The sequence below is a fragment of the Homo sapiens genome, chromosome 17, assembly GCF_000001405.40.
Source record: "Homo sapiens chromosome 17, GRCh38.p14 Primary Assembly".
NCBI classification, from domain to species: domain Eukaryota; kingdom Metazoa; phylum Chordata; class Mammalia; order Primates; family Hominidae; genus Homo; species Homo sapiens.
Genome location: NC_000017.11, coordinates 31,567,587 through 31,594,639, shown reverse-complemented (window position 1 = coordinate 31,594,639; position 27,053 = coordinate 31,567,587). Strand labels below are relative to the sequence as shown.

At 49.5% G+C, this 27,053-nt stretch overlaps 1 long non-coding RNA gene and 2 other non-coding genes across 3 annotated transcripts, besides 3 other annotated features; all 3 read right to left on the bottom strand.

The window, feature by feature from the left end:
• Positions 13,869–13,918: an enhancer, noted in NCBI's record as "active region_12017". NCBI's record gives its function as "activates an Ori minimal core promoter by ATAC-STARR-seq in GM12878 lymphoblastoid cells {active_cell/tissue: GM12878}" and the evidence as "EXISTENCE:reporter gene assay evidence [ECO:0000049][PMID:35858748]".
• On the bottom strand, positions 18,981–23,498 carry MIR365BHG (MIR365B and MIR4725 host gene). Its single transcript, NR_186556.1, has 3 exons — positions 23,279–23,498; positions 22,466–22,555; positions 18,981–19,129 (listed from the first exon to the last, which is right to left on the bottom strand). It is a non-coding gene; the product is annotated as an MIR365B and MIR4725 host gene (long non-coding RNA).
• On the bottom strand, positions 19,119–19,229 carry MIR365B (microRNA 365b). The gene has a single exon (NR_029856.1). It is a non-coding gene; the product is annotated as a microRNA 365b (primary transcript).
• MIR4725 (microRNA 4725) lies at positions 19,282–19,371 on the bottom strand. Its single transcript, NR_039878.1, has one exon. It is a non-coding gene; the product is annotated as a microRNA 4725 (primary transcript).
• Positions 20,655–21,274: an enhancer, noted in NCBI's record as "H3K4me1 hESC enhancer chr17:29900385-29901004 (GRCh37/hg19 assembly coordinates)". NCBI's record gives its function as "activates a minimal SCP1, AML or CMV promoter by ChIP-STARR-seq in primed H9 embryonic stem cells {active_cell/tissue: H9 hESC(primed)}" and the evidence as "EXISTENCE:reporter gene assay evidence [ECO:0000049][PMID:30033119]".
• Positions 26,241–26,741: an enhancer, noted in NCBI's record as "H3K4me1 hESC enhancer chr17:29894918-29895418 (GRCh37/hg19 assembly coordinates)". NCBI's record gives its function as "activates a minimal SCP1, AML or CMV promoter by ChIP-STARR-seq in primed H9 embryonic stem cells {active_cell/tissue: H9 hESC(primed)}" and the evidence as "EXISTENCE:reporter gene assay evidence [ECO:0000049][PMID:30033119]".

Genomic DNA, 27,053 nt, shown 5'->3' with positions numbered 1-27,053 from the left:
GTTATACTTCAAGACCCATCCAGATTTCATCCCCTTGCAAGACTATGAGCAACAGTAATGGTTTCTACTCCTCCCTTACCCAATTTGTCCTAAATGCTCAAGAAGCACAGATATACAGAACTGTGGGCTTGGCAAGGCCCTTAAAGACCCACAGTGGTCTGCAAGCCCAGGGTGGTTGGAAATGTGTAGGGTATTTTTTGGTTGCCACAGTGACAGGGACTGCTGCTGGCATTTAGTGGACTGGGGACCAGGAATGCTCACTAGGAAGAACTGTCCCTCCCAAAGGGTCAATAGCACCCTATTGAGAAATACTGAGCTGCCTCCTCTTGAATGGGGAACCCATGGCCAGGGAGGGGAGACGTCTTGCCAAGGTCACACAGCACCAAGGTGGCTGGTACTCACTCCTTTCATGGAGCACTCCTGGGCGGTGGGCCTGACAGTGGCCCTCTGACCCTCCAGGTCCTTAGATCCTGGCCTGGTGCTGGCCATGCTACCAGCGCCAAGGATGTCATGAGAAATGTGTCTGGGAATGCCCCTACAGCTCTCACCAGCTGCTGCACCTTCCCCACCCATGCTGGAGGCCAGATGGCCTGGCGTAGGCGATGATGTGCCTGGAATGTGGAGCCAGCCTGCCCGGGGAGGGGAGAGCCCGGCTTGTGGCTCACACACAGTCACCAGAGTGAGGGCCAGAGTTCTACAATTACAGTGTCTGGTTCCATGAGCTTATCCAAACACAAAGATCTGAGCCTGGGCACTAGTGAGCACAACACTCCAGGGCCCAGCCTGGCCAAGGCAGGTGGGGAGAGAGAGGCGAGGCCTGGTGTGAGAGGCGAGGCCTGGTGTGCCCAAAGTCATGCCCTCACCCCTGCTCCGAGATGGCATGGCTAGCCATCCGCAGAACTCCCACCCTCAGGCCCTTACGATGGGCTAGAAACTGAAAATTATACACACACACAAAGAGACAATGGTATAACAAACCCTGATATACCCACCACTCAGCTGTGACAATCATCGACCTATGACCCATCCTGCCTCATCCAGACCCACCCACCTTCCCATTCACATCCCTCCTCGCTGTGTGTGTGTGTGTGTATGTGTGTGTTTTGAGATGAAGTCTCACTCTGTCGCCCAGGCTGGAGTGCAGTGGTGTAATCTCAGCTCACTGCAACCTCTGCCTCCTGGGTTCAAGCGATTCTCCTGACTCAGCCTCCTGAGTAGCTGGGACTACAGGTGCACACCACTGCACATCCTGCTAATTTTTGTATGTTTAGTAGAGACGGGGTTTTCCCATGTTGGCCAGGCTGGTCTCAAACTCCTGACCTCAAGTGATCCACCCACCTCCGCCTCCCAAAGTGCTCGATTCCAGGTGTGAGCCACTGCACTCGGCCAGTTTTGAAGCAAATCTCAGGCATGACATCATTTCATCCATAAATATTTCAGGGTATATCTTCAAAAGAACTCTTCCTTCCAAAAAACAAAGCGCCATAATCACAACAAACAAATTAACAATAGTTGCTATTATTATCAAAGAGCAGGTCAATGTTCCAATTTGTAATTGTCACACAGTTGCTTTTTGACAGTTTGTTTAGATTTTGATCCAAATGAGGTCTACACATTACAGTCGTCAGTATATTCTCTGAGTGTTTTTGGGTCTAGAGGTTTTGCTTTGTTTTGTTTTTGAGACAGAGTTTTGCTCTTGTTGCCCAGGCTGGAGTGCATTGGTGCGATCTCGGCTCACTGCAACCTCTGCCTTCCAGGTTCAAGCGATTCTCCTGCCTCAGTCTCCTGAGTAGCTGGGATTACAGGCACCCACCACCACGCCTGGCTAATTTTTGTATTTTTAGTAGAGACGGGGTTTCACCATGTTGGCCAGGCTGGTCTCGAGCTCCTGACCTCAGGTGATCCACCCACCTTGGCCTCCCAAAGTGCTGGGATTACAGGTGTGAGCTGCCACACCCAGCAAGGTTTTTGTTTTGTTTTTGCTTGCAATTTATTTACTGGAGGAAACGAGTTGTTTGTCTTGTGGTATTTTCCTCCATCTGGGTTTTGTGGATTGCTCCCCTGTGGTGTAGTTCAACATGTTCCTCTATCCTCTGTTTTTCCTAAAAGTTGGCAGTTGGAAGTAGAGGCTTGATCAGATTCAAGTTATAGATAGATAGATAGATAGATAGATAGATAGATAGATAGATAGATACACACACACACACACACACATAAGACCATGTCCTTAGCTGGCATCAAATTCTTCTATTAGGAGGCACATAATGTCCAATTATTTGTTCCTGATGTTAGCAGCCATGGAAGCTTCAAGCAATTAATTCATTAAGGACTTCAGAATGACATTATATTTCAATCATTCAGCATTTATTAGCTGGAATCCATCTATAAAAGAGACTTCCTCTCCTCTATGATTTGGTTACATAGTGATTCTGTTTGAAAGGGACTTTTGTAGTTGATCAGCTCTCTCAAAGGACTGCTAGGGTAAGTGGGCCAGAGAGGGCAAGTCCCTCACTAAAGGACACACAGCAAATTGGGAGCAGGGCAAGAACTCAAACCCAGGTCTGCTGCTTCATGCGCAGCACTGATCTGGAGGCTGCACGGTGGAGCAGGAATCAGGCCTGGACTTGAATCTAGGACCTGCCATTTATAACCAGTGGCCTTTGGGCAAATCTTTCAGCCCTGATGCTTCTCTGTAAATGTAGGGATAATCCCATCTCCTTGACACAGCCCCAGGTTCACCAAGGTTAGTTTCCTCTTTGTAAGAGGGACTTGGAGAAGCCCAGTCTGACCTCCCAATGTGAGGTCCATTCACCAAGTCAACCCTCAGGTTCACAGCCTTTCCCTCTTACTTTCTATGGCTGCTTCCGGACCTGCCTAAGGGCCCTCCCAGGAGCATAGCCCTGGCCAAGGAGAGAGACTATTTCTCAGAAAGCACAGGCCTCTCCCAGCAAATGGTGAGCTCAGAACCAGCTACATATTTTATGGGGCCTTTTGTTCAAAATTATTAAGAATTTCAACATGGTGAAAGCATAAACAAAGCACAGAACCCTTTTAGTGGTGGGCTCTGTTGTGACTGCGTGAGTGGCAGGCCCACAGAGGTGGCCTGGGGTGAGCTCTGTCCCCGCTTGTGTTTGAAGGCATGTGGACACACCTCATTCGACTCAACAAAACTTGAGTGTATAAGTCAGGACACATTGGCCATAACCAACACAAACCCAAATCAAACTAGCTTTGGCTAAAAGAGTTTACAGTAAACAGCGTTTCATAATCATAGTCCTGTAAATGTTGTTTCTTGGGAATCTTTTGAGTCGACCTGTTGACAAAGCTATAAACATTTATTGTGGAAGGCTGGGCGTGGTGGCTCATCCCTGTAATCCCAGTGCTTTGGAAGGCTGAGGCAAGAGGATAGCTTGCATAGTAAAACCCCAGTCTCTACAGAAAATTAAAAAACTAGCAGGCGTGGTGGTGAACACCTGTAGTCTCAGTTACTAGGGGAGCTAAGGTGGGAGGATTGCTTGAGCCTGGGAGGTCAAGGCTGCAGTGAGCTATGACTGCACCACTGCACTCCAGCCTGGGAGACAGAGCAAGACCCTGTCTCAAAAAAATAAATAAATAAAATAATAATAAATAAAATAACCAGTCCGGGTGCAGTGGCTCACACCTGTAATCCTAGCACTTTGGGAGGACGATGTGGGTGGATCACTTGAGCCCAGGAGTTCAAGACTAGCCTGGGCAACATAGGGAGACCCAATCTCTACAAAAAATACAAAAATCAGCCACACATGGTGGTGCATGACTGTCATCTCAGCTACTCAGGAGGCTGAGATGAGAGGATCGCTTGAGCCCAGGCTTGCAGTGAGCCAAGATCATACCACTGCACTCAAGCCTGGGTGACAGAACAAGACCCTGTATCAATCAATCAATCAATCAAACATTGTGGAGAAGAGAATGTGAATGTCAATAACACAGACAATACAAAAATTATACCTGACAGCCGGGCGCCGTGGCTCACGCCTGTAATCCCAGCACTTTGGGAGGCCGAAGCAGGGGCAGATCATGAGGTCAGGAGATCGAGACCATCCTGGCTAACAGTGAAACCCCGTCTCTACTAAAAATAGAAAAACAAAATTAACCACGCATCCCAACTCCCTATAAGAGCTCCCGGTTGCAGTCATCTCCACAGCTGTCATACTTGTACCTTGGTGGTACAAGGTACAAGTGGTGTACAGTGTACAGTGGTGGGCACCTGTAGTCCCAGCTACTTGGGAGACTAAGGCGGGAGAATGGTGTGAACCTGGGAGGTGAAAGTTGCAGTAAGCCGAGATCACACCACTGCACTCCAAGCCTGGGCGACAGAGTGAGACTCCATCTCAAAAAAAAAAAAAAAAAAAATTATAGCTGGCAGAGATAGGGTGTGAACAAGCAGATAAAATGGTAAGGGCATCCATATTTATTCTTATTCTAAAAAGGGTGGGAAGACAAAAAACACTGTCTAAAGTTGAACAAAAGAAATAGACTTTTTTTTTTTTAAGACAGAGTCTCACTCTGCCACCCAGGCTGGAGTGAAGTGGCGCCATCTTGGCTCACTGAAAGCTCTGCCTCCCAGGTTCAAGCGATTCTCCTGCCTCAGCCTCCTGAGTAGCTGGGACTACAGGTGCGTGCCACCACACCCAGCTAATGTTTGTATTTTTTAGTAGAGACAGGACTTCGCCATGTTGGCCAGGCTGGTCTTGAACTCCTGACCTCAAGTGATCCGCCCGCCTCGGCCTCCCAAAGTGCTGGGATTTACAGGTGTGAGCCACTGTGCCCGGCCAGAAATAAACTATTAGATATAGGTCATCAGTAGATGACCTACATGTACTATACATTTCAAAGTTGAGGGGGTTAGGAGGGTAAATAAGCTAAATCCTCATGTACCTTACAGAAAAGTTGATGGCTATTGGTCTAAAGTTATAAATCAAGAAATAGGTGTGTAAGCATATGATCTAGTAACTGGGGTAACTACAGAAAAAAATACAAAAGGAAATGTGTGAAACAGCTTGTGTCTGGAGTACAGCTGGGGTAAAGCGGGGAGAATAGGGCAGAAGGCTGGGGATTTTCTTTATAAGCTCTTTTGTGCTATAGGGGCAGCATTCCAAATCCACAAATCCGAAATCCAAAAGGCTCCAAAACCTGAAACATCTTGAGTGCCAACATGATGCGCAAAGGAAATACTCATTGGAGCATTTTAAATTTTTGGATTCCGGGTTTGTGATGTTCAGTCCGTAAGTATAATACAAATATTCCAAAATTTAAAAAAAATCCAGTATCTGAAACACTTCTACTCCCACACCTTTTGGGTAAGAGATATTCAACGTGTATTTGATTTGTTACTATGCTCTTGTATATTTTGATAATAATAAGGTAAAAAAGGGATGGAGTTTATTGCCTCATATAAGCCAGACACAGAAAGGCAGAGGGGCTAATAATCTCAGCTGACTGCTTCAGGGCCTCATTCTCTCAGGCTCCACCATACAGCCACTGGTAGCTCTAGAATCAGATTTTTCAATTTTTTTTTTTTGAGATGGAGTTTTGCTCTCGTCACCCAGGCTGGAGTGCAACGGCGCAATCTCAGCTCACTGCAACCTCCGCCTCCTGGGTTCAAGCAATTCTCTTGCCTCAGCCTCCTGAGTAGCTGGAATTAGAGGGCCCGCCACCACACCTGGCTAATTTTTGTATTTTTAGTGGTGACAGGGTTTCACCATGTTGGCCAGGCTGGTCTCAAACTCTTGACCTCGGGTGATCTGCCTTGGCCTCCCAAAGTACTGGGATTGCAGGCGTGAGTAACCGTGCCTGGCTGGAGTCAGATTCTTAACAGCTCATGATCCAAGGGGAAAATTCCAAATATTCCAGAAAAGGACTCTGATTGGATCTCATGTCCAGCCCCTGAACCAAACCTGGGCATGATTGGGTCACCAAGATCATGTGACCACTGGGTTACCAGGACGGCTAAAATGCTCCAGGACCAGATAGAGTGATAGGGAAGCAGTTCTCTGAGCAAAGAGAGTGCTACTATTAGAAGAAAGAGAGAACAGATGCTGGGGACAAAAATCAACAGAAGCTCATGACACTGGGACTCTACCATGGGCCTGTCCCTGGTACAAGGTACAAGTATGACAGCTGTGGAGATGACTGCAACCGGGAGCTCTTCTAGGGAGTTGGGATGGGAGATGTAGACAAGGAAACAAATCACTGTTATCCAAGGGTGAATGTGGAAAGAGCCACAACATCCACAGGAGGTTCTATGAGAGCTAATGGACAATCAGCCACTGCCCACTGAGACGTCTTATGAATTCCAAGGACCAGACGGTCCCTGCTACAGCACAATTATGGGTTCGGATTCCATTTCTGCTCAGGGAAATTACTTCACTTCTCTGAGCCTACTTCTCCATCAGTATGATGCAACAGTGATTCCAAGTCGGCAGTTGTTATAGATTGGCTTGGGAAGCTGAGAGCTTGGCACGAGGTAGACATCTACCTCCCAGGGTCCCAGGGCCACCCATCCACATTGCCAGCTTTTTCTTCAACACTAGCTAAGGTGCATTAATTTCAATTTAGCTTATAGCCAAAATGTCCTTCTTAGAGTTGTTTCATTATCTGGTCTGTAGGATACTAGAAAATTATCCAAATGCCTAAGATAACCTGACTACACCAAAATTGTCAGTGTAATCCCCATTAGAACAGGTGCTCCCTGAAGGCAGGCAAAATAGTATTCACGTTTGCATCTTTCTCTAGTACTTAACAAAATGGACACTCATTCATAAAGATTTTTTTAAATCAAATATATGAATAAAGGGATGAATGAGGCCCTAGAAAGGATACTTTCTAGGAAAATTGTGAAATTGTAAAAACAAGAGATCAGTTTGCCAAGATAGACTCCTGGCAGCCCCTCCTCCTAGCTTCGGAGGTCAGCTAAGGATAAGTGGAGAGCAAGTGTGTACCCTGGCATGGGGACTGGGAGGCAGGGCGCACTGGACCAGACAATGGACAATGGGCCCACTGCATTTGTTCATTCAACAGATGTTTACCAATCACCTGCCATCTGCCAGGCACCTGGGATACATCAGCAGCAAAGAGAAAAAAACTCACCCTCTGGGACCTGATATCCCGGGCATGATGTGTGAAGAGCTGCGGTGGCCCCTGAAGGAACCTGGCCTATGCATCCCCGTGGTTGCATCTTCCCATCGATGTGTTTCTAATATTAGTTGCAATAACCACAGCGATCATTCATAGGGAACCTACTGTATTAGTCAGGATCATTTCGGTTTTAAGTCACAGAAACAACTCAAACTGCCTTAAGCAAATAAAAAGGAAAATGTTGATGTCTTCATTCCTAAAATTACCAGAGATTAACTAGCTTCTGGCCTGGCTGGATCCAGGAGCTACAAAGACATCATCGGGACTCTGCGTCCTGTGCTGGCTCTTGCTCCACTTCCTTCTGACTTCATTCTACTGACTTCATTCTCAAACAGCCGAATAGTAAAAATGGCCTCTGGCAGCTGCAAGCCAATGATCTCAGCAAAGAGCAAGTACCTCTTTCCTGATCGTTCCAGCAAACCTTTGGGGCACTGTTACAGTGCCTGGCCAGACTTAAGTCCCATGCCCAGGCCTGAGCCAATTCTTGGAGTCAAAGCCTGGGATGTGGTGATTGAACTTGGATCTGGTGGCAGGCCTGGGAAGGGGGTGTAGAAGACAGCACCATTTACTCAGTAGGGACTGAGACTGGGCCCCAAAACTGGGACTTATTGGAAGACATGGTGAGGCACAGGCAGCCCCAACAATGCCCGCTACACTCATGCACCAGGCACAAACTAAGTTAAGCCCTGCAGAGGTCCTAGGCAGTGAGAACATTCTTAATCCTATTTTTCAGACTGGGAGACCCACTCAGGGAGGCAGACCCACTCAGGGAGGCAGAGTACCTTGCCAGCATCTCATACCTCAGTGGAGGATCAGGGAGTATGGATTCTTTTATACCAGGCAGAGAGGTTAGTGGGGAGGCCATAGCCTCTGAAATACAGCAGAAGATCAGAGAGTATTTGACTGATTAAATGTAGTGAATGGAGGGGAAGACAGCAAGGGGAATAATCTCTGATGAATTTGGCACCATCCTGGCCCCCTATCAACTCTCCCATCCCCATAGTAATGATACATAAATCACAGATAAAGCTGGTGCAGTGGCTCATGCCTATAATCCCAGCACTTTGGGAGGCCAAGGAAGGAGGTTCACTTGAGCCCAGGAGTTGTAGACCAGCCTGGGCAACACAGAGAGACTTCGCCTCTATTGTTATCTTTAAAAATAATAATAGACCAGCCTGGGCAACACAGAGAGACTTCGTCTCTATTGTTATTTTTAAAAATAATAATAAGGCTGGACGCGGTGGCTCATGCTTGTAATCCCAGCACTTTGGGAGGCTGAGGCAGGCAGTTCACTTGAGGTCAGGAGTTCGAGACCAGGCTGGCCAAAATGGGGAAATCCCGTCTCTACTAAAAATACCAAATTAGCTGGATGTGGTGGTGCATGCCTATAATCCCAGCTTCTTGGGAGACTGAGTCAGGAGAATTGCTTGAACTCGGGAGGCGGAGGTTGCAGTGAGCCAAGATGGCGCCACTGCACTCCAGCCTGGGCAACACAGCAAGACTCCATCTCAAAAAAAAGCAATAATAATAAAATAAAAATAAAAAATAAATATATCACAGATAGTTATTCATTTATTCACATTCCCACACATCTATCCTCTGGTTCAATGTTTGCTGAGTAGAGTAGGGCAGATCCTGGAGCCAGGCTGCCTGGGTTCACTAGGAAATATCCTTCGGCAAGGAATTAATTGCTGAAGCTTTAATTTGGAGGTTGAAGCTCCACAGGGCAGGAATGAGGGAACAGAGGAGTGAAGTACGAAATTGATAGGAAGCAGGGCAAGACGATGGATAACCACACGGCTGCCACTTCACAGCAAGCAAACCTTGGCTCCAGGAAGGGAGAGAGAAAGAAGGAATTTACCCTCCCATTTCCTATTGCTCAAAGGTCATCCCATAGAACTCTCTCGCCCCCACCCCACTTCTGGGTTGCATTCTCCAGCCCCTTTAGCAGCCATGTGGGAGCCAGGTCCCACGTCCTCCTGGGATGTGGTCTCAGAGAAGTCAGGCTGGAAAAGCAGCTGGTCGGCTTTAGCTGTGGAAACAACTGCGGGGACCCCATGGAGTCCTTCAGCCCTGGCTGTGGCCAAGGCCCAGCAAGCAGCCAATGGTCTGACGGGTGGGGGAGCTGCGAGGATCTGATGAGGCAAGCAAGATGCATGTGACACAGCCACATTCCAGCCAGGCCTTAACTTCTCCGAGCCTCAGTTTCCTTGGCTGAAGCATCTGTGAAATGGGCAGCTGGACTAAACTGAGATTGCCAACCTGACATCCTCCAGACCTCTGGGAGGAGTCCATAATTTGTTGGTGCCAAGCTCATCATCATCATCATCATCATCATCATCATCATCATCATCGTCCTCTTTGCCTACGGCTGGAATGATTTCAACTCCAGGTCCTTCCCTTGGCTTGTGTAGTGATGGAGCAGTCAGCTGAGACAGTGAGTTGTGCATATGCCTTGAAGAATACATTTGGGGAAGTGGATTCTGGCTTCCTGTATGGGGTTTAGTAGATATTATCTTTCAAGCCCTGGAATCCACAGGGGGAAAATAACATTGGTCTAGACAGGTGAAAGGTGAGAATTATGGCACATGATCATTGGCACATGGTAGGCACCTACCTCTCAGGGTCCCAGGGCCACCCACCCACATTTCCAGCTTTTTCTTTAACACTGGATAAGATGCATTAATTTCAACTTAGCTTAAGGCCAAAATATCCTCCTTAGAGTTTCGGGGAAAAATTCCAAATATTCCAGGGAAGGACTCTGATTGGATCTCATGTCCAGTCCCTGAACCAATCCAGGGTGTGATTGGCTCACCAAGGTCATGTGACCACTGGGTTACCAAGAAGGCTAAAATGCTCCAGGACCAGATAGAGCGATAGGGGAGCAGTTCTCCAAGGAAAGGGAGTGTTACTATTAGGAGAAAGGGAGAACAGACGCTGGGAGACATCTTGACAGTCCCTCCCAGCAATGATGTTCTTGGCTACCAGGATTCCATGAGCACCTTCCAAGCAGTCCCAAGCTCCATTTATGAAGGGACACCCAAATACCCAAAAGGAGAAAGGTGCCATTCCTCCAGCTACCTCACTGGTCCAGCTGTGTTCCCTGCACCAGCCCTAGGTTCATCAGCCATGTGACCTTGGACAGGTCATTCTACCTCTCTGACCCTGTTTCCTCAACAGTAAAATGAGGCTGATGTCTAGATATAAAAATTGAAACATACGCCCATACAACGAATGAAAGAAACATACGTGAATGTTCAAAACAGCCTTAGTCATAATAGGCAATATCTGGAAACAGCTCAAATATCTGTCACCTGATAAATGGCTAAACAAACCGTGGCACACCCATACAATAGAATAATAGAATGCCTTCCAGCAATAAAAAGGAACGAACTACTGAGATGCATGCAACATGTGGATGGGTCTCAAAAACATGCTGAGTAAAAGAAACCAGACACAAAAGAGTACATGCTATATGATGACCTTTACATGAAATTCTAGAGAAGGCAAAATGAATCTGCAAAACAAAGGCAGATCAAGGTTGTCTGAGTCAGAGGGATTGGTCATAAAGGGGATAAAGAAACTTTTAGGGGCAAATAAGAAATATTCCACATCATGATTGTGGCAATAGTTACAAGGGTGCACGCATTTGACAAAACTTATGAATTATACACTTACGGGTGGGTTTTGTTACATGTAAAGTATACCTCAATAAAGTTTATTTTAAAAAATACAAGACCAAAGAAAAACACTGCCTGTATTAAAACCCTTTCTGTGACAGAAACCCAACTCAGGCTGGTTTTAGGGAAAAAAGGACAGGCACACTGGCTCGCACCTATAATCCCAGTGCTTTGGGAGGCTGAGGTGGGAGGATCACTTGAAGCCAGGAGTTTGAGACCAGCCTGAGCAACACAGCAAGACCGCATCACTAGAAAAAAAAAAAATTAATTAGCCGGGTGTGGTGGCATGTGCCTGTGGTCCCAGCTACTCAGGAGGCTGAGACAGGAGGATTGCTTGAGCCCAGGAGTTTGAGGTTGCAGTGAGCTATGATTGCACCACTGCACTCCAGCCTGAATGACAGAGCAAGACCCTGTCTCTAAAAAAAGAAAAGAAAAAAGAAAAGGAAAAAGAAAAAGGAAAGGAAGGAAGGAAGAAAAGAAAAGAAAAAAGAAAAGAAATGTATTGGCTCACAAAATCAGGTTAGTCCAGGCTGCAGCTGGTTTCAGGCATGGCTGGATCCAGGGGCTCACTGATGTCTGGATCCATACTCTCCATCTCTTTGTTTTGTTTGTTTGTTTTGAGATGGAGTCTTGCTCTGTCGCCCAGGCTGGAGTGCAGTGGCATAATCTCAGCTCACTGCAAGCTCCGCCTCCTGGGTTCATGCCATTCTTCTGCCTCAGCCTCCCAAGTAGCTGGGATTACAGGCACCCGCCACCATGCCCAGCTAATTTTTTTGTATTTTTAGTAGAGATGGGGTTTCACTGAGTTAGCCAGGATGGTCTCGATCTCCTGACCTTGTGATCCGCCCACCTGGGCCTCCCAAAGTGCTGGGATTACAAGCCACGGTGCCTGGCCTCATCTCTTCATTTTCTTTCCTCTTTGTTGGCTTTGTCAAGTTGAGGACAGGATGGCCACCAGCAGTTCCCAGCCTACATCCTATCAATACAGCAACTCCCTCAGAAAAAGAATGCTTCTTTCCCCATAACTGCTGCAGATGTCCCATGGCAGAGTCTCAGGACTTGGCCTCCAGGCCTGGAACACATGCCAGTGTCTAAAGCCAGGGTTTGGGGTTGGCCACACCAGAACCCCAGAGATACAGGGTAGGGGAGAAGTGATCTCCTGAAGTTATTAACAGAAAAAAGAGGTATTAAAAGAGGTATTATCAGAAGGGGGCATGGAAAGCCAACAGATGGCCACCTCATACCCAGGGAGTAGTGTCAGCATACACCCCTACCTCCAGACAATTCCACATTGGCCAGACTATCAGGGACAGACCTCAAACCCACGCGGGCCCAAGGCTGCTTTTCCGTGACATCACAAACTCTGCCTATTAGCTACAAGAATCAAAACAGAAAGTAAGCACTAATTGCTTCCCCACCAGTCCAGCCAAACAGAAAGCCCTTCCTGCCTGTGCTGGGCTGTCTGCACCCCAAGGAAGCTGGCAGGGGAGGGAGCAGTTCCACATCAGCCACTCTGGCCCAGGCCCAGCAGGAGTGCCTCGGAGCTGACGGAGTCCGGGCTTATAGGACAAACCCCCTAGAGGGGAAGATGCCTCTGTGGGCGCTGGGCCTCAGCAATCTAGACCTGATGGGAATCCAGAGCAAAGAGGTAAAGCTTCAGTTTTCCAGTCCAGAGCCACTGTCCCAATACTTCACCCAGGGAGGAGACTGTCAGGAAAGGTTGTCCTTGCAGGGTCAAGGATGGAAGGCACCATCCTCAGGCTGTGACCCAAACTTCATTTCCTGAGCCGTGTGGGGCAACCACCATTCACTGGGCATCTTCCCCATGCCAGGCATCACTGAGTTCTCTGCTGAAGTGTACTCCTGGCCGGGAAGGGAAAGGCAGCCACAATTTCTTGTATCTATTTGGAAGAAGCCTAGAAAGTACCCACATTCCTACAGGGAACTATGGCACCCATCAAACAAATGAGGCAACAGGCTCAGCAGGGAGCTTTACCCCAGGTTCTCAGCTCAGTGACCGCCTTGATCAGACTCCCAGGCAAAGGCTCGTCCCAGCCCAACTCCAGGAGGTCAAAGCGCTTGTCTCAGCCTTGTCCAGCGGCTAGGCTGCTGACTGAGCTGAGGGCACTTCTGATCCAGGAAGCAGGAAGCCAAGGCAGCTTAGGGCTATCTTCCAACCCAGCTCCCCAGGGAACCTGGGCAAGAAAAGCCTGAGCTGATGCCCACTGCCCCATCTCCCACTAAGGTGCTGGCTGAATCTGCCTGTACAGCCATGCTGCTTTCTGGGAAGCAGGTTTAATGGACATCGCTGCCAAGAGTGTACACTCTGCTGCAAAGTGCTGGGCCGGGGGACGGTGAGAGCCAGACTGAGGAGGGAGAGGGCCAATGCCAAGCAAGGAAGGAGCGGAGGAGTACACGGGGCCCTCCCTTCCAAAGGAAGCCCGAGGGCTGGCCCAGAGCCACTGGGCTCCGGGAAAATGGTGTTCTGAGCTCCCAGATTCTATCTCTACCCTCCACGAGCAAGGCAGGCTGGTCCTCCGGCTCTGCAGACCTGCCAGGGAACAGCTGACCACTTCCTGGAGCCGACAATGCACCCATCGTTAGCTCCCTGCGCTGGCTGCCTGCCCAGCCTGCCCGCAGGCCAGGCCTCTGGAGCTGAGCTGGGCAGGAAGGAGAGAGGGGCAGGGACAGTCTGCTAGAGACCTGGGCACCCCCAGTAGAGCTCTGTCCCTGAGGACTCAGACAAGCAAGCCCCATGCAGGGCTGTGTTCCTTCCTAGATGCCTCTGTCCAGGCAAGGAGAGCTGGGTGACATGGGCCAAGCCTCTTGAGTGTTCTGAGCCTGTTCCTCATGTGTAAAATGGGGCCAAATCTCACCGTGCCCACAGCTGGGATTAGTGCAACAGGGCAGGCTGCGGGCAGCTGTGGGTCCAGGCTGGCTGGCAGGGGACACAGAGCATTGGGAAACTAGGGGATGATGACTCACCCTGCTGGGGCAGCCCCTACCCACGCCTCAGCATACTGTGATGACCAAGTGTCCAATTATTATTAAGCACAAGAATATGCTTCTTATGATCCATATGCTCATCATGAATACTAATGACTAGTACTACTGAAACAGCACTAATCTGGAGGGTCAGAAGTTGTGTATTTTACATCTCATCTCTGCCATATTCTGTGTCTTCAGATAAGTCCCCCGATCCCCTTAGCCTCAGTTTTCTGCTTGCAAAATGAGGATCAAAAGATGACTGAGCAGCAGAGACAGTAACGGAAATGAAAGTTGGCCAACTGCAAATGGTCACATCCCTTGATCGGGCTCTGAAGGCAAAGCTGGAGGAAACCTCTTCCATCTCTAGCTTGTGGGCATTTAACCCAACAGTTCTCCTCTGATTGCTTAAGAGACTCACCTGAGGAACATAAGAAAAAAAAAAATAATAACTGGTCAGGTGTGGTGGCTCATGCCTATAATCCCAGCATTTTGGGAAGCTTGAGCCCAGGACTTCAAGACCAGCCTGGGCAACATAGTGAGACCTCGTCTCTACAAAAAAAATTTTTTAAATGGCCAGGCACTGGGCGTGGTGGCTCATGCCTGTCATCCCAGCACTTTGGGAGGCTGAGGCGGGCAGATCACTTGAGGCCAGGAGTTTGAGACCAGCCTGGCCAACATGGTGAAACCCTGTCTCTACTAAAAATACAAAAGTTAGCCGCACGAGGTGGTGGGCACCTGTAATCCCAGCTACTCGGGAGGCTGAGGAAGGAGAATCACTTGAACCCAGGAAGCAGAGGTTGCCATGAGACGAGATCGCACCACTGCACTCCAGCCTGTGCCACAGAGCAAGACTCTGTCTCAAAAACAAAAACAAAAACAAAAACAACCACCAGCCAGGCGCGGTGGCACACACCACACGCTACTTGGGAGGCTGTGGGAGAATCACTTGCACCCCGGAGATTGAGGCTGCAGTGACCCAAGATCGAGCCACTGCACTCCAACCTGGGAGACAGAGAGAGACCCTGTGTTAAAAAAACAAACAACAAATAAAAAACAACAAACAAAAACAAAGATACCAGTCTTTGGGCCCTTTCATTCCCCAGCAATTCAGATCCAATGGGTCCTGCATGGGACCAGGCATTGGCATGTTTTTAATGCTCTCAAGTGATTCTTCTGTGCAGCCAGGTCAAGAAGCAATGCAGCCGCCCACTTATAAATCAGACGGGATAAAGCCCTCTTGTCCGGCATCCTCACTGACAATTTCATCAATCCTGGTTTAGAGAGACCTGGTGCTGCTCAAACACCCTCCAGCAAGATCACTGAGCTTCCTGGCCAGAGGCCAGCAGCGGCCCACAGCATATCCTGCTTGGTAAAAAGAAAATAAAGGCTTTCTGGCCTGAGGGCACAGGGCCATTGCTCAAATGAGTTATGAGCCTGACCCTTTTAAAAGTCCCAATCCTGCTAACTGGGTGGGGAAGTACAGGCATGAGTTAAAAAGGCTGGAAAGATAGATTTAATTAGCAGACATTATCTCTAGGTATGGGCATTTATAAGCCCTTTCCATCTCTTTTTGTTTTGTTTTGTTTTGTTTTTTGGAGGCAGGGTCTGGCTCTGTCGCCAAGGCTGGAGTGCCATGCAGCGATTTTGGCTCGCTGCAACCACCACCTCGCGAGTTCAAACAATCCTCTCACCTCAGCCTCCTGAGAAGCTGGGACTACAGGCATGCACCACCACACCCAGCTAATTTTTGTATTTTTTGTAGCGACGGCGTTTTCGCCATGTTGCCCAGGCTGGTCTCAAACTCCTGAACTCAAGTGATCAGCCCACCTAGGCCTCCCAGAGTGCTGGGATTATAGGTATGAGCCACCAAGCCTGGCCCCTTTGTATTTTTCAAATGCCCTATAGTAGAAGGCAATTATTTTATAATTGGGAAAAAACAGTAATCAGTTTTATGTTTGATATATTGCCTCTTTTAAAAAGTTGACGTAGGCTGGGCGCCGTGCCTCACGCCTGTAATCCCAGCACTTTGGGAGGCCAAGGAGGGTGGATCATGAGGTCAGGAGATAGAGACCATCCTGGCTAATACGGTGAAACCCCATCTCTACTAAAAATACAAAAAATTAGCTGGGCGTGGTGGCGGGCACCTGTAATCCCAGCTACTCAGGAGGCTGAGGCAGGGGAATCACTTGAACCTGGGAGGCGGAGGTTGCAGTGAGCCGAGATCATGCCACTGTGCCACTGTACTCCAACCTGGGTGACAGAGTGAGACTCCATCTCAAAAAAAAAGAAAAAACCAAAAAAGTTGATGTATTATCTTTTGCAAATGTTTTGTGGTAAAGAATGAAGAACTGGCCAGGTGCAGTGGCTCACACCTATAATCCCAACATTTTGGGAGGCTAAGGCAGGAGGATTGCTTGGGCCCAGGAGTTTGAGACCAGCTTGGGCAACATGGCAAAACCCTGTCCCTACAATAAATGCAAAAATTAGCCAGGCATGGTGGTGTGCGCCTGTAGTCCCAGCTACTCGGGAGGCTGAGGTGGGAGGATCGCTTGAGCCCAGGAGGTAGAGGTTGCAGTGAGCCTGGTTCAGGCCACTGCACTCCAGCCTGGGTGGCAGAGTTAAGATTCTATGTCAAGAAGGAAAAAAAAAAGAATGAGGAACACATGTAAGAACAAGGAGGTTCAGGGGAATGAAGGGCAGGAGAAAGGGGCCCCATGGGAGGGGATGGTTGAGGGGAGCAAATGGCAGGGAAGCTGATCGGGGATGAAGGAACCTTTGCAACACCCCTGTCCGTTGGAGGTTGCGAGAATAGCATTTCATGGGAGCCCCACCTATCCCTTACCAAGAAAGGATAAATGCCATCATGTTTAAACTTTACCTTGGAGCTGTCCTTGCCCTGTGCAGAAAAAAGCCAAGGCTCCTGAGCAAACCCAGCTCCTTCAAAACTGTCTCTGGGAGAGCTCATGTGGAGGTAGTCACAGTAGCACCGGCCAGTGCCCACTGGAGCCAGGGCTGGGCTGCAGGGAAGATCGTGGCAGTTGGACTTCTGCAAATGCTGAGCACACGTGGTCATCTCCTCCAGTGACGAGAGCTTTTGAGCTGCACCTAGAGACCCTGGAAATACCTCAAGGGTAAACTTCCCCTGCTGACCCATGAGGGCAGTAAGACATAGAGTGGACCCACTGGGGCATGCAGAGTCCTGCTTGTCACTTTGTCCATCTCCCCACCTGTCCTTCACTGCAAGCCACCAGCCCAGTCTCCCCTGGAGAGCAGGATTCTGTTGCTTCGGGTTTGGTGGACTGGCATTGTTGGGGAAGGCAGGCATATCACAAATTGATTTAACAAAGTATTTCTGGCCAGGCGCAGTGGCTCATGCCTGTAATCCAGCACTTTGGGAGGCCGAGGCAGGTGGATCACCTGAGGTCAGGAGTTTGAGACCCAGCCTGGCCAACATGGTGAAACCTCATCTCTACTGAAAATACAAAAATTAGCCGGGCATGGTGGTGGGTGCCTGTAAATCCCAGCTACTTGGGAGGCTGAGGTGGGAGGATCCCTTGAGTCCTGGAGGTCAAGGCTATAGTGAGCTGTGATGAAGCTACTGCACTCCAGGCTGGGTAACAGAGTGAGACTGTGTCTCAAAAAAATAAAAAATAAAAAAATAGGTCTCAGAAAAATCGGATTCAGCCGAGCGCAGTGGCTCATGCCTGTAATCCCAGCACTTTGGGAGGCCGAGGCAGGTGGATCATGAGGTCAGGTGTTCGAGACCAGCCTGGCCAACACAGTGAAACCCCGTCTCTACTAAAAATACAAAAAATTAGCTGGGCATAGTGGCAGACGCCTGTAATCCCAGCTACTTGGGAGGTTGAGGCAGGAGAATCGTTTGACCTGGGATGTGGAGGTTGCAGTGAGCTGAGATCGCGCCACTGCACTCCAGCCCAGACGACAGTGCAAGACTCCATCTCAAAACAAATAAAAATAATAATAATAATTTAAAAAAAGGTATTTCTGCTTCTCGACAATCCCCCAGGACCTCCAAAAGCCTTGGCTGGTCAAAATAGAGTCATGTGTCACTTAACAACGGGGATCCATCCTGAGAAAGGCATTGTTAGGTGATTTTGTTATTGTGCCAACCTCACAGAGTGTGCTTACATAAACCTAGATGGTGAATAGCCTGCTGCACACCTAGGCTAGGTGGGGGAGCCCATTGCTCCTAGGCTACACATCTGTACAGCACGTTCCTATCCTGAATGCTGTAGACAATTAGAACACAATGGCAAGCGTTTGTGTACCTAACCAGAAAAGGCACAGTAAAAACAGTGTTATAATCTTATGAGACCACTGTCCTACATGCGGTCCCTCGTTGACCAAAACATCGTTAGGCAGTGCATGACTGTATCTGCAGGGTGGGGCTGGATAGGGCAGGGGTAGGGAGACCTGCTGAGAATGGAGGAGATCCATGAAGTGAAATAAGGATGGAGGACTTTCAGTCAAGGAAAAGCAAGCTCCAGGGTCACAGTAGAGGGGGAAAGACCCTCAATTCACTGTTCTATTTTCAAAATGGCTAGTTCACTGGGTCTCAGACAGACAGTGGATTCTGAGGCTCCTTCTATTTTATTTTATTTATTTTTTGAGACAAGGTCTCACTGTGTTGCCCAGGCTGGAGTGCAGTGGTGCAATCTTGGCTCACTGCAACCTGCAACTCCTGGGCTCAAGCAATTCTCATGCCTCAGCCTCCCGAGTAGCTGGGACTACAGGCACACACCACCACACCCGGCTAACTTTTGTATTTTTAGCAGAGATGGGGTTCTGCCATGTTGGCCAGGCTGCCTTCTATTTTAAAATACAATGCAAGTTCCTGCGCAGATAGATGCCTCCTCTACTCCTGCCTCAACTTCTCAGGAAAGGTTGGGGGGCATCTTGTCCAGCCCAACTCTGTTGCCTCTAACATCACTGACCCGGAAGATGACCTTCCTTGGGCACTGCACGTGCAGCTAGGCTCTTCCAGGCCTTCACTGCACACAAACCAGGGAGTTCCTGCACCCTCCTGGGCTCCAACCTGCACAGGAATATCTTGATGTCCAGCCCTCCCGACCCTCAGCCACTCCAATCCTCCACCAGAAGAGAAGATGCTAAAAATGCACGCAAACAAAATTGTTTTAATAATCAGCAAATCCCCATTCACTCTTATTTTGGACGTACATTCCAATCTGACCCCAGGAAGTCCCGGTCCTCCCAGAAGGGCCAGGTGGGTGAGAGGCAGGTTGCTGGCCGCTGCCCGATGCACACTGCAAGAACAATAAGGATTTTTAGGGGCATTATGACTGAGTCAGAAAACACAGCTGCCCCTGAAAGTCCCTCATTTTTCTTGCTGTCCTTGAACACTCTCCAGGTGAGGAAGCAGTCGTCTGCCACGCCCAGATGAGCCGAGGTGAAGCTGGTGTTCCCTCACCCGACACTGACGCCTTCCCCACAGCCCATGGAAAGCTCCCTGGTGGGTGGGAAGGCTGCAGGGTCTCCAGAGAGACACAATTTTCTCCGATGCCGGGCCCAGCTGCGGCCAGCCTCGCCGCCCTCCCAAGGCATACCCAGGAATGACCTGGGTTCCACCTAAAGCCAACTCAGAACCCAGCGCCTTCTGCCTGCAGGAAACTGCAGACCAGCATCCTGGTGGAATCCCAATGTGGAGAGCAGCCCCCAAAACTCGGGAACGTGGCAAGAACTATACTATAGTCTGTAGCCCCTGTGTTCACAGGAGGGGCGTGGACCATCTCAGAGAGACAATGATGGTCTCAGGCCTGGCGTGACACATGAACACAAGACAGCCAGCCTCCAACCTTCTTGTAACCAGGCCTGAGGCCAGGCCTGATTCAGGCAAAGAGAAGAAAACACCAGGAAGTGCCCAGAAGAGCAACCCAGGCCTGAAAACCCGGGAGAAGAGCTGCCCCGACTCTCTCCAGCCCATCTTAAAGAACGGCACACAGACAGGAGATTCCAACAGGAATGGGCACGGGAACTCCGGTTCCGCTTCTCTCCAGCAGTCGCGGCCTTGGTTACTCTGCCTGTAAAATGGGCCTGGAAGGAGCTAAGCTCCCACCACCCTCTCTCCCATTTCAAAGGGAAAGCCAAAGAGGAAATGAGACTTTCAGCTCTGTCACAGAAAGCAAAGGGGCTGGAAGAGGCTGCAACCTGTGAGAAACAGCACGCCCTGGGGTGCTGCTGAATGGATCTCAGGCCCGCCCACCAATTCTCGGCCATATCCCACCCTGCCCTTAGCAAAAGAGCAACAGCTTCACATTGGCCTGAGTGGGAAGGCAGGTCCTCCCAATACCCTTCTATGAAAACGGCCTACAATGGGCAACAAAGACAAGTGTGAAGACCTCTGGAATGTCCTAGGTGGTTTCTGGGTTCAAATCAACAAGCCCACAGGCTCTGCTGGGAAGCACAGGCTGAAAGAAACCAAGGTTGGGTGAAGGAGATGGTGAGACAGTGGCCAAAAAGAAGGGAAGAGACTGGTGGCCAATTTGTTTTTTGTATGGGAGGATAAAAAACAAGAGCTTCCAGAATCAGAGACTCGTAGAGGATTCTCCTTAATGGGACAATCCCTTCTGTCCCGAGGCCCAGGTGAGCCTCCAGGGCAGTAGAGGGTCAACCCCAGCGTCAGGGCATCAGGGCCCAGACCAGGAAGGCCCCTAGGGAATGAGGTCCTGCATGTGCCTCCCACCTGTGGAATGTCACCCAGCAACAGGAAACGTGTCTCCTGAGGCCAGGCCACTTTGCCCAAGGCCCCGGCACAGCTGGAATCTGTCCAGCCTGGCACTGCACCTGCTCTTTGGGGGCCCCACTGTCCATGCAGGAACCTGGCCTGTCAGGACACAGGTTGCCACCGCTGTGGTGAAAACACATCCCCACAAAAGACAGCCAGCTGCTGGCACCACTACCTGCTAACTTGCTGTATGACCTGACCCTGTGTAAATTACTCGGCTTCCCAGCCTCAGCTCTCTTATCTGTAATAGGAATAATAAGCCCACCTGGAAGGGCAATGTAAGGATCGAAAGAAAGCAAAGTGTGTAGCAGGCTCCTAACAAAAGTGGATCCCCTCAGACCCCAAGGGCAGGGGCTGGGCCATAGCGAATTCTTCCCCTCTGGGAAGGGGGCTGGGTCAGGGTGCCAGCCCGTGCCTCGCTGCACCCTGGGCACTGACACTGCATCTTCTCCCCAACACTCCACGCTCCTTCCAGTTCAGACTGTGAGGAAGTGTGCCTGCTATCCCGATTGCCAGCTCCAGCCTCAGCCCTCTCAAACTGACATTCTGGCACCTGTCATCCACCCGGAGCTTTCTGTCCTAACCAAGATCACAGACATATTCTCCACCAACAAAGCAGAACTGAAGCAGTCCCCCCACACTAGGTTCTGCATCATCTGAACCACTGAACAGCACACCTGCATCACTGTGCTGAGCTGCTCCCGCTGCCTGGCACACCTTACCCCACGTGGTGCCGTGCAATAAGCAGGCAAGACCTAGCTCACCACTCACTAGCCTCGGGCCAGCAACTTAACCCCGAGTGCTTTTGTCTGTTCCTGTGTGAGTCTGGGGTTACTACCTATTTCAGGGGTTGTCTGGAGGACTGAATGGGTTCATTCATGGAAAAGGCTTAGAACTGTGCCTGGCACAAAGCGTTCAATCAAGATTAGCTATTATTACCATTCCTGCTTTGTTCTTCAAGACTCAGCTCACCTCTTCTGGGTGACCTTCCTTGACCCCAGACTCTCCCTGGGTTACAGCCCCTTCCTTCTCCCCATTCCATCATCCCAAAGCTCATCACACTGTGCTTTACCTATTGGTCCACCCAACCAGAGCACAATCCTGGGGCCACCTGCCTCACAATCACACAAACTTATTAACAATGCTGATTGCACCCCCCTTCCCAGGTCTATCAAGGGGCCCTGGAATCTGCATTGTTAATAGGCTCCTGCTGTGATTCTCCCAAGTTTGAACCACTGCTCTGGCACCTGTCATCTACCTGAGCTTTCTGCCCTAACCCAGATCCCAGCCATATTCTCCACTAGCAAAGCAAAACCCAAGTCCCCACACCCATTGCTACAGGCAGGTGCTTGGCCCAGAAACAAAAGCGCCTGGTCCAAAATCAAGGAGGCAGGGTCAGGAGAGCTGCCCCTGAGAGTGGCTGGAGGAGCTCCTCACACCGTGCTGGGTATGTGACAGTGACCCACCTGGGCTTGGCTTTGACAGCAGAGCTAACCTATCACCAAACACACCAGCCACCCAGTCCAGTTCCATGCGCCTTCCCTGAGTGCTCACTCTGCATGGCCCTGGGCTGGGCACACGCTGACGACTGAGGTGCATCATGTGCCAGGTGGCAATGGGACCGGTCAGGGTGATGTCCCACCAAGACCAAAGGGATGAAGTCACGACCCAGCTCTTGCATATTGTAACTGTGGTTGATGCAGACCCACCACCCTTTATTCAAAATTCTCAACTCAAACAAAACTCTGGATAATGAAAGTTGTTTTTGTCACTGAGTGGGAAAATCTGACCCAAACTGACTAGAAACTATTATTTCGAGTCTATATTTATCCTGGGGAGTGTGAATATTCATACTCACCTGAGTGAGTGCCCCCTTCTGTGGGCTGATGGGCCACCAGGGCTTACCAGCGAGCTGTAGAGTAAGGAGGCTCCACTCTGAACAGAGTCCCTAAAGTGCCAGCAACCCACAAAACCATGAGAGAAGAAAAAGAAAGGCCAACTAAATATCAGCCCTTGTTTGGAATTGGCTTTAAGGAAAAAAAAAAACAAAACCATCCACCAGCCCTATCCTGGCTAGGAAAGAAGGTGACCAGGCAGAGGGCAAAAGTCTCAAATGTCTTGGGAGAGAAACCGCCTACAGAGAGAAGGTGCTGAGCACATACAGGGACCCGCTGCCTCTCTGGGATGCTGGGGCCTGCTGCAGGGGCTGGCTGAGAGGATCTGGCCCTGCAGCCTGGAAAGGCCAGGCCTTCTTTGAGTCAGAGGCCAAACATCCTTGGTGCAGCTTGACGGGGTTGGAGGTTGGGGAGGACAGGGGTGATTCCAGCACACAGACTAGAAGAGTGGGCTCTGAGGGTCCCGCCCTCCTTCTGTCCACCCCAGCCAGTCTTCCCCAGGCCAGACCACTACAGAGGTGCAAGTCAGAGGGCTCAACTGGATTTAAACTTCTGATGCAGTGAAAAGAGGTCTTGGCCTCGCAGGCTGGCCCCGCCCTTGCTGGACATTCCGAGGCTGGGAATGAACAAGCCAGGAGACCTGAAACTCATCCATCAGAGCCGCTGGGTTTACGATAATCAACCTCTCTCTGCCAGAAATTCTTTTGCTAAGAACACATCAGCTCTGAAAACACTCATTCTCAACCCCTCACTCCCCGTACACCTCACAAACCCACCTGGGACTGGGCTCCCACAACAGCAGCCCTGCCTGGCCCCAGGCTGCCAGCCAACATATCTTGGGGCTTGGCTCTGCCCCCAAAATTCATCAGTGGGTGGAGGCCCAAGTGAGTAGCCGTCAGCAAGGCTGGACCTGGGCCCAACTGCAGTTGTCCACACAAAAACACACTCCTGCTACCGAGGCCAGGTCGGTGAGGGCAGCGCCTGCTTTCCATCTATGTTTCCAGACCATCTGGAGGAGCCAAGCAAGGGGTGGGTACTGACACTAGAGGCACAACTTTTATCTCTTTAAGGCAACTCCACTTGGCCAGGGGTGGGGAACAAGACAAGCAGACCAGGCAGGCAGATGGCAGGGCTAAAGTCTGTGGAAGAAAACAGTATGTTTAAGGATGCATTTATCGTTTTGACAAGGCATCAGCAAACTCTGGCCAAAGGGCCATCCCAGCCCACCATCTGTTTTCATAAAGTTTTGTTTTTTGGGTTTTTTTTTTTTTTTTGAGACAGAGTCTCACTCTGTCACCCAGGCTGGAGTGCGGCGGCACAAACTCAGCTCACTGCAACCTCCACCTCCTGGGTTCAAGTGATTCTCCTGCCTCAGCCTCCCAAATAGCTGAGATTACAGGCACCCGCCATCATGTCCAGCTACTTTTTGTATTTTTAATAAAGACAGGGTTTCACCATGTTGGCCAGGCTGGTCTCAAACTCTGGACCTTCAGTGATCTGCCCATCTCGGCCTCCCAAAGTGCTGGAATTACAGGTGTGAGCCACCGCACCTGGCCCTCATAAAGTTTTATTAGAACATAGATGTACTCATTCATTGATGTATTCACAATGACAGCAGAACAGAATCTGCTTCTGAACAATCTTTGCTTGGCACCTGGTGAGGGAAGGCCTCTGAGGGTCATGGGGCAGCCAAGTCACCTGCCCTGGTGGCGGTACAGCTGTTTGGGCATCTCACCCACTGGTCAGCTGGACTCTCAATCTGCCTTCAGGCTCCTCCTATGGCTGAAGTGGAAACGGGCCCTGGCAGAGCAGGGACTCTGAGCACACGGCTGCTGTAGTCTTAAGTGGACGCTACTCCAGGGCAGGGTCTCTTACTCCAAACCTTCAGGCCATGTGTTCCAGAACTTTTCAAGTTTTAGAAAGGGAATGTGGTGCCTATGCCACATATTATGTAACACCCCAGCAAGGCAGCACCCATAATCAAACATTAATATCTCTGCAGGGAAACCCATGAGTATTCACACTCCCCAGGATAAATATGGACTCCAATAGTCTGTCAGTTTGGGTCAGGTCTTCCCATTCAATTAGCGGCAAAAACAACGTTCAGTATCCAGTTTTCTTGCGTATCCAGAATTTTGGACAAAGGATGGTGGGCCTGCATCAACCACAGTTACAAAATGCAAAAGCTGGGTCCTGACTTCATCCCCTGGGTCTTGACAGGACATCCCCCCGATCCCCCTGACAGACGGTCTTCATTGCCACCTGGCACAGAGAAAGCACATACAAGGCTCACAGTAAATAGGTTCTGAATTAATCCTGATCACCAGATTTTTTTTTCTGCCAAAGAACAGCTACTAATATGACTGATGAAAATGTAGAAAAAATAGCATTTAAAGCCAACCCCTGTCTGCCTGCTTCATTACCAGGAACAAAGAAAAGCCAATATAAATGAATAATTCTTCCAACTCCATTTACTCAGAACAAGGAAAAGAAACTGTTTTCTGGTCACTGTTGCTGCCTCATGGGCAGGCACATTAGGTTTTTGGGGGAGCAGGTGAGTGGGTGGAGTCAAAACTTTAAAAACCCATTATTTTTCTCCCCTGTGTACTTCCTTAGAGCCTCCCTGTGGCCAAAGTTCCACTTGGAAATCTAAAATAATTTATCTCATCACGAAATCCTAACAGCTAATTAGAAAAATGTACTAATTGGATAATCTGGTTTCAGATGCTCTAATTATACTCCTTTGGCGGGGCGGGGGGGGAAGCAATGTATACATATATATAACTTAATAGCCCTTCTTCCAAAAAGTGTAAAGTATCCAGAAGAAATAGCACTTCTTCCAAAAAGTGTAAAGTATCTTCCAAAAAGCCTAAGTAGGCCATGCATGGTGGCTCACACCTGTAATCCTAGCACTTTAGGAGGATCAGGTGGAAGGATTGCTTGAGCCCAGGAGTTCGAGACCAGCCTGGGCAACACGGTGAGACCCCCATCTCTATGTGTTTTTAAAAAGCCTACAGTATGAAGGTTAAAAAGAGTCACCTTAAGATAGTAGCGACACTGCAGAAGTATTTTAATCACATTATCTACAAACAGATAAACCACGTCCTATAAAATACAGTTTTTCTGCATTAGAGGATATCTGAAAATATATTTTGGTGATAACTCCCACCAGATGTTTGGGAAGTAAACGGATTTTCCCCCTTTCTAATGCAACAAAATTTTAGCATTCTGAAATGTCATACCCTCTATCTCTATTTCTTAATAGAGTAACTCTTACAAATGACTACCAGAAATTTCCTCATTGCCAGAGATTTCTAAACCCCAAATTGGGAAAGAGGTTCTTGATTCCACTGGCGATTTCGACCTCTCCTGGGCACAGGGCAGATTTCTGGGACACATCTGACTCCATGATTGGGAAATGCTTTTGGCCTGCCTGACAACATGGTCTTGGGGTAAGAAGGCAAGAGGGTGGCTGGTGGGAGGGGGTGTGCCTGTGACAGCGACCTGGGCAGGGCATCCCTCTCATGCCTGGAAGAACTGTCCGGTCAATGTCGCAGGCCCAGCACACCTTCCCAACGAGCTGAAAGCTGCCCGCAAGCTCCAGGGCTATATGTAGTCAGGGCTGACTGCCCCTCACAGGGAGGCAATGAGGAGGAGGCCGAGAACTGCCACCTGCACACACCAGCATCTGCAGCCCTGCCACCCCGGTGGAGACCCCAGTGGGCTGACCACAACTCTTTGTGGAAAGGATGCAAGCATCCTCTGGGGGCATTTTCTCTGGCCCTTGGCTGGACACGTGCTATCCGTCTGACAAATATCGACCATGCTGGGCACGCGTGGCCTGGGCCGACACAGGACTGCAGAGGGCAGGCACCAGGGGCTGCCGCTGCCACTGGCCTGTCAAGTTAGTTTCACTTTCTGGTTTTTCCCCCTGGGTCACTTCTCACTCTGAAGGGAGAAAATGTTCTTTAGATGACAAGAGAGAAAATCTTTAGAAGTGTTCCTTGTCATTTTCTTTTTTTCTGAGGACACTGTTTTTCTCTGAAGACCGGGTAACAGGCTTTACGCCATGGGGCTGAGAACACAATACCCCAGAGCCTGGCGCTTTGGTACACTGAGCACTTTGAACTAAAGGAGAAAGCAAGTTCTCTCTGACCTTCTTCCACCCTTCTGTCTCTTGCCCCTCTTTCTCCCCAGCAGCCAGGCACAGAAACCAGAATTCCTCTTCCCCAAGGTGGGTCATAGGAAGTAGAACTCCTCTCCCCCAAAGCAAGACATAGTATCTACAAAGGTCACTCTCTCCCTTCTCACCCCTCATCCCAAAGGGGTCCTGCCCCATACGCCCCAGACATGCTGCACAGTGAGGCCAAAAAGCATCTGAATAGACAGGCCTTGCTGGGTGGTCCCCTCTGTCTATTACATTAGGTCGTACCCTTTTTGTCCTATCACATTCCTAGATGGTTGTCCCTTCTTCCTCCAATCTAAGCATAAAAATAGTTTTCCCTGGTTCTCTGGGTCTTACTTCTGAAGGCTCTCATGTCATGTAAAACA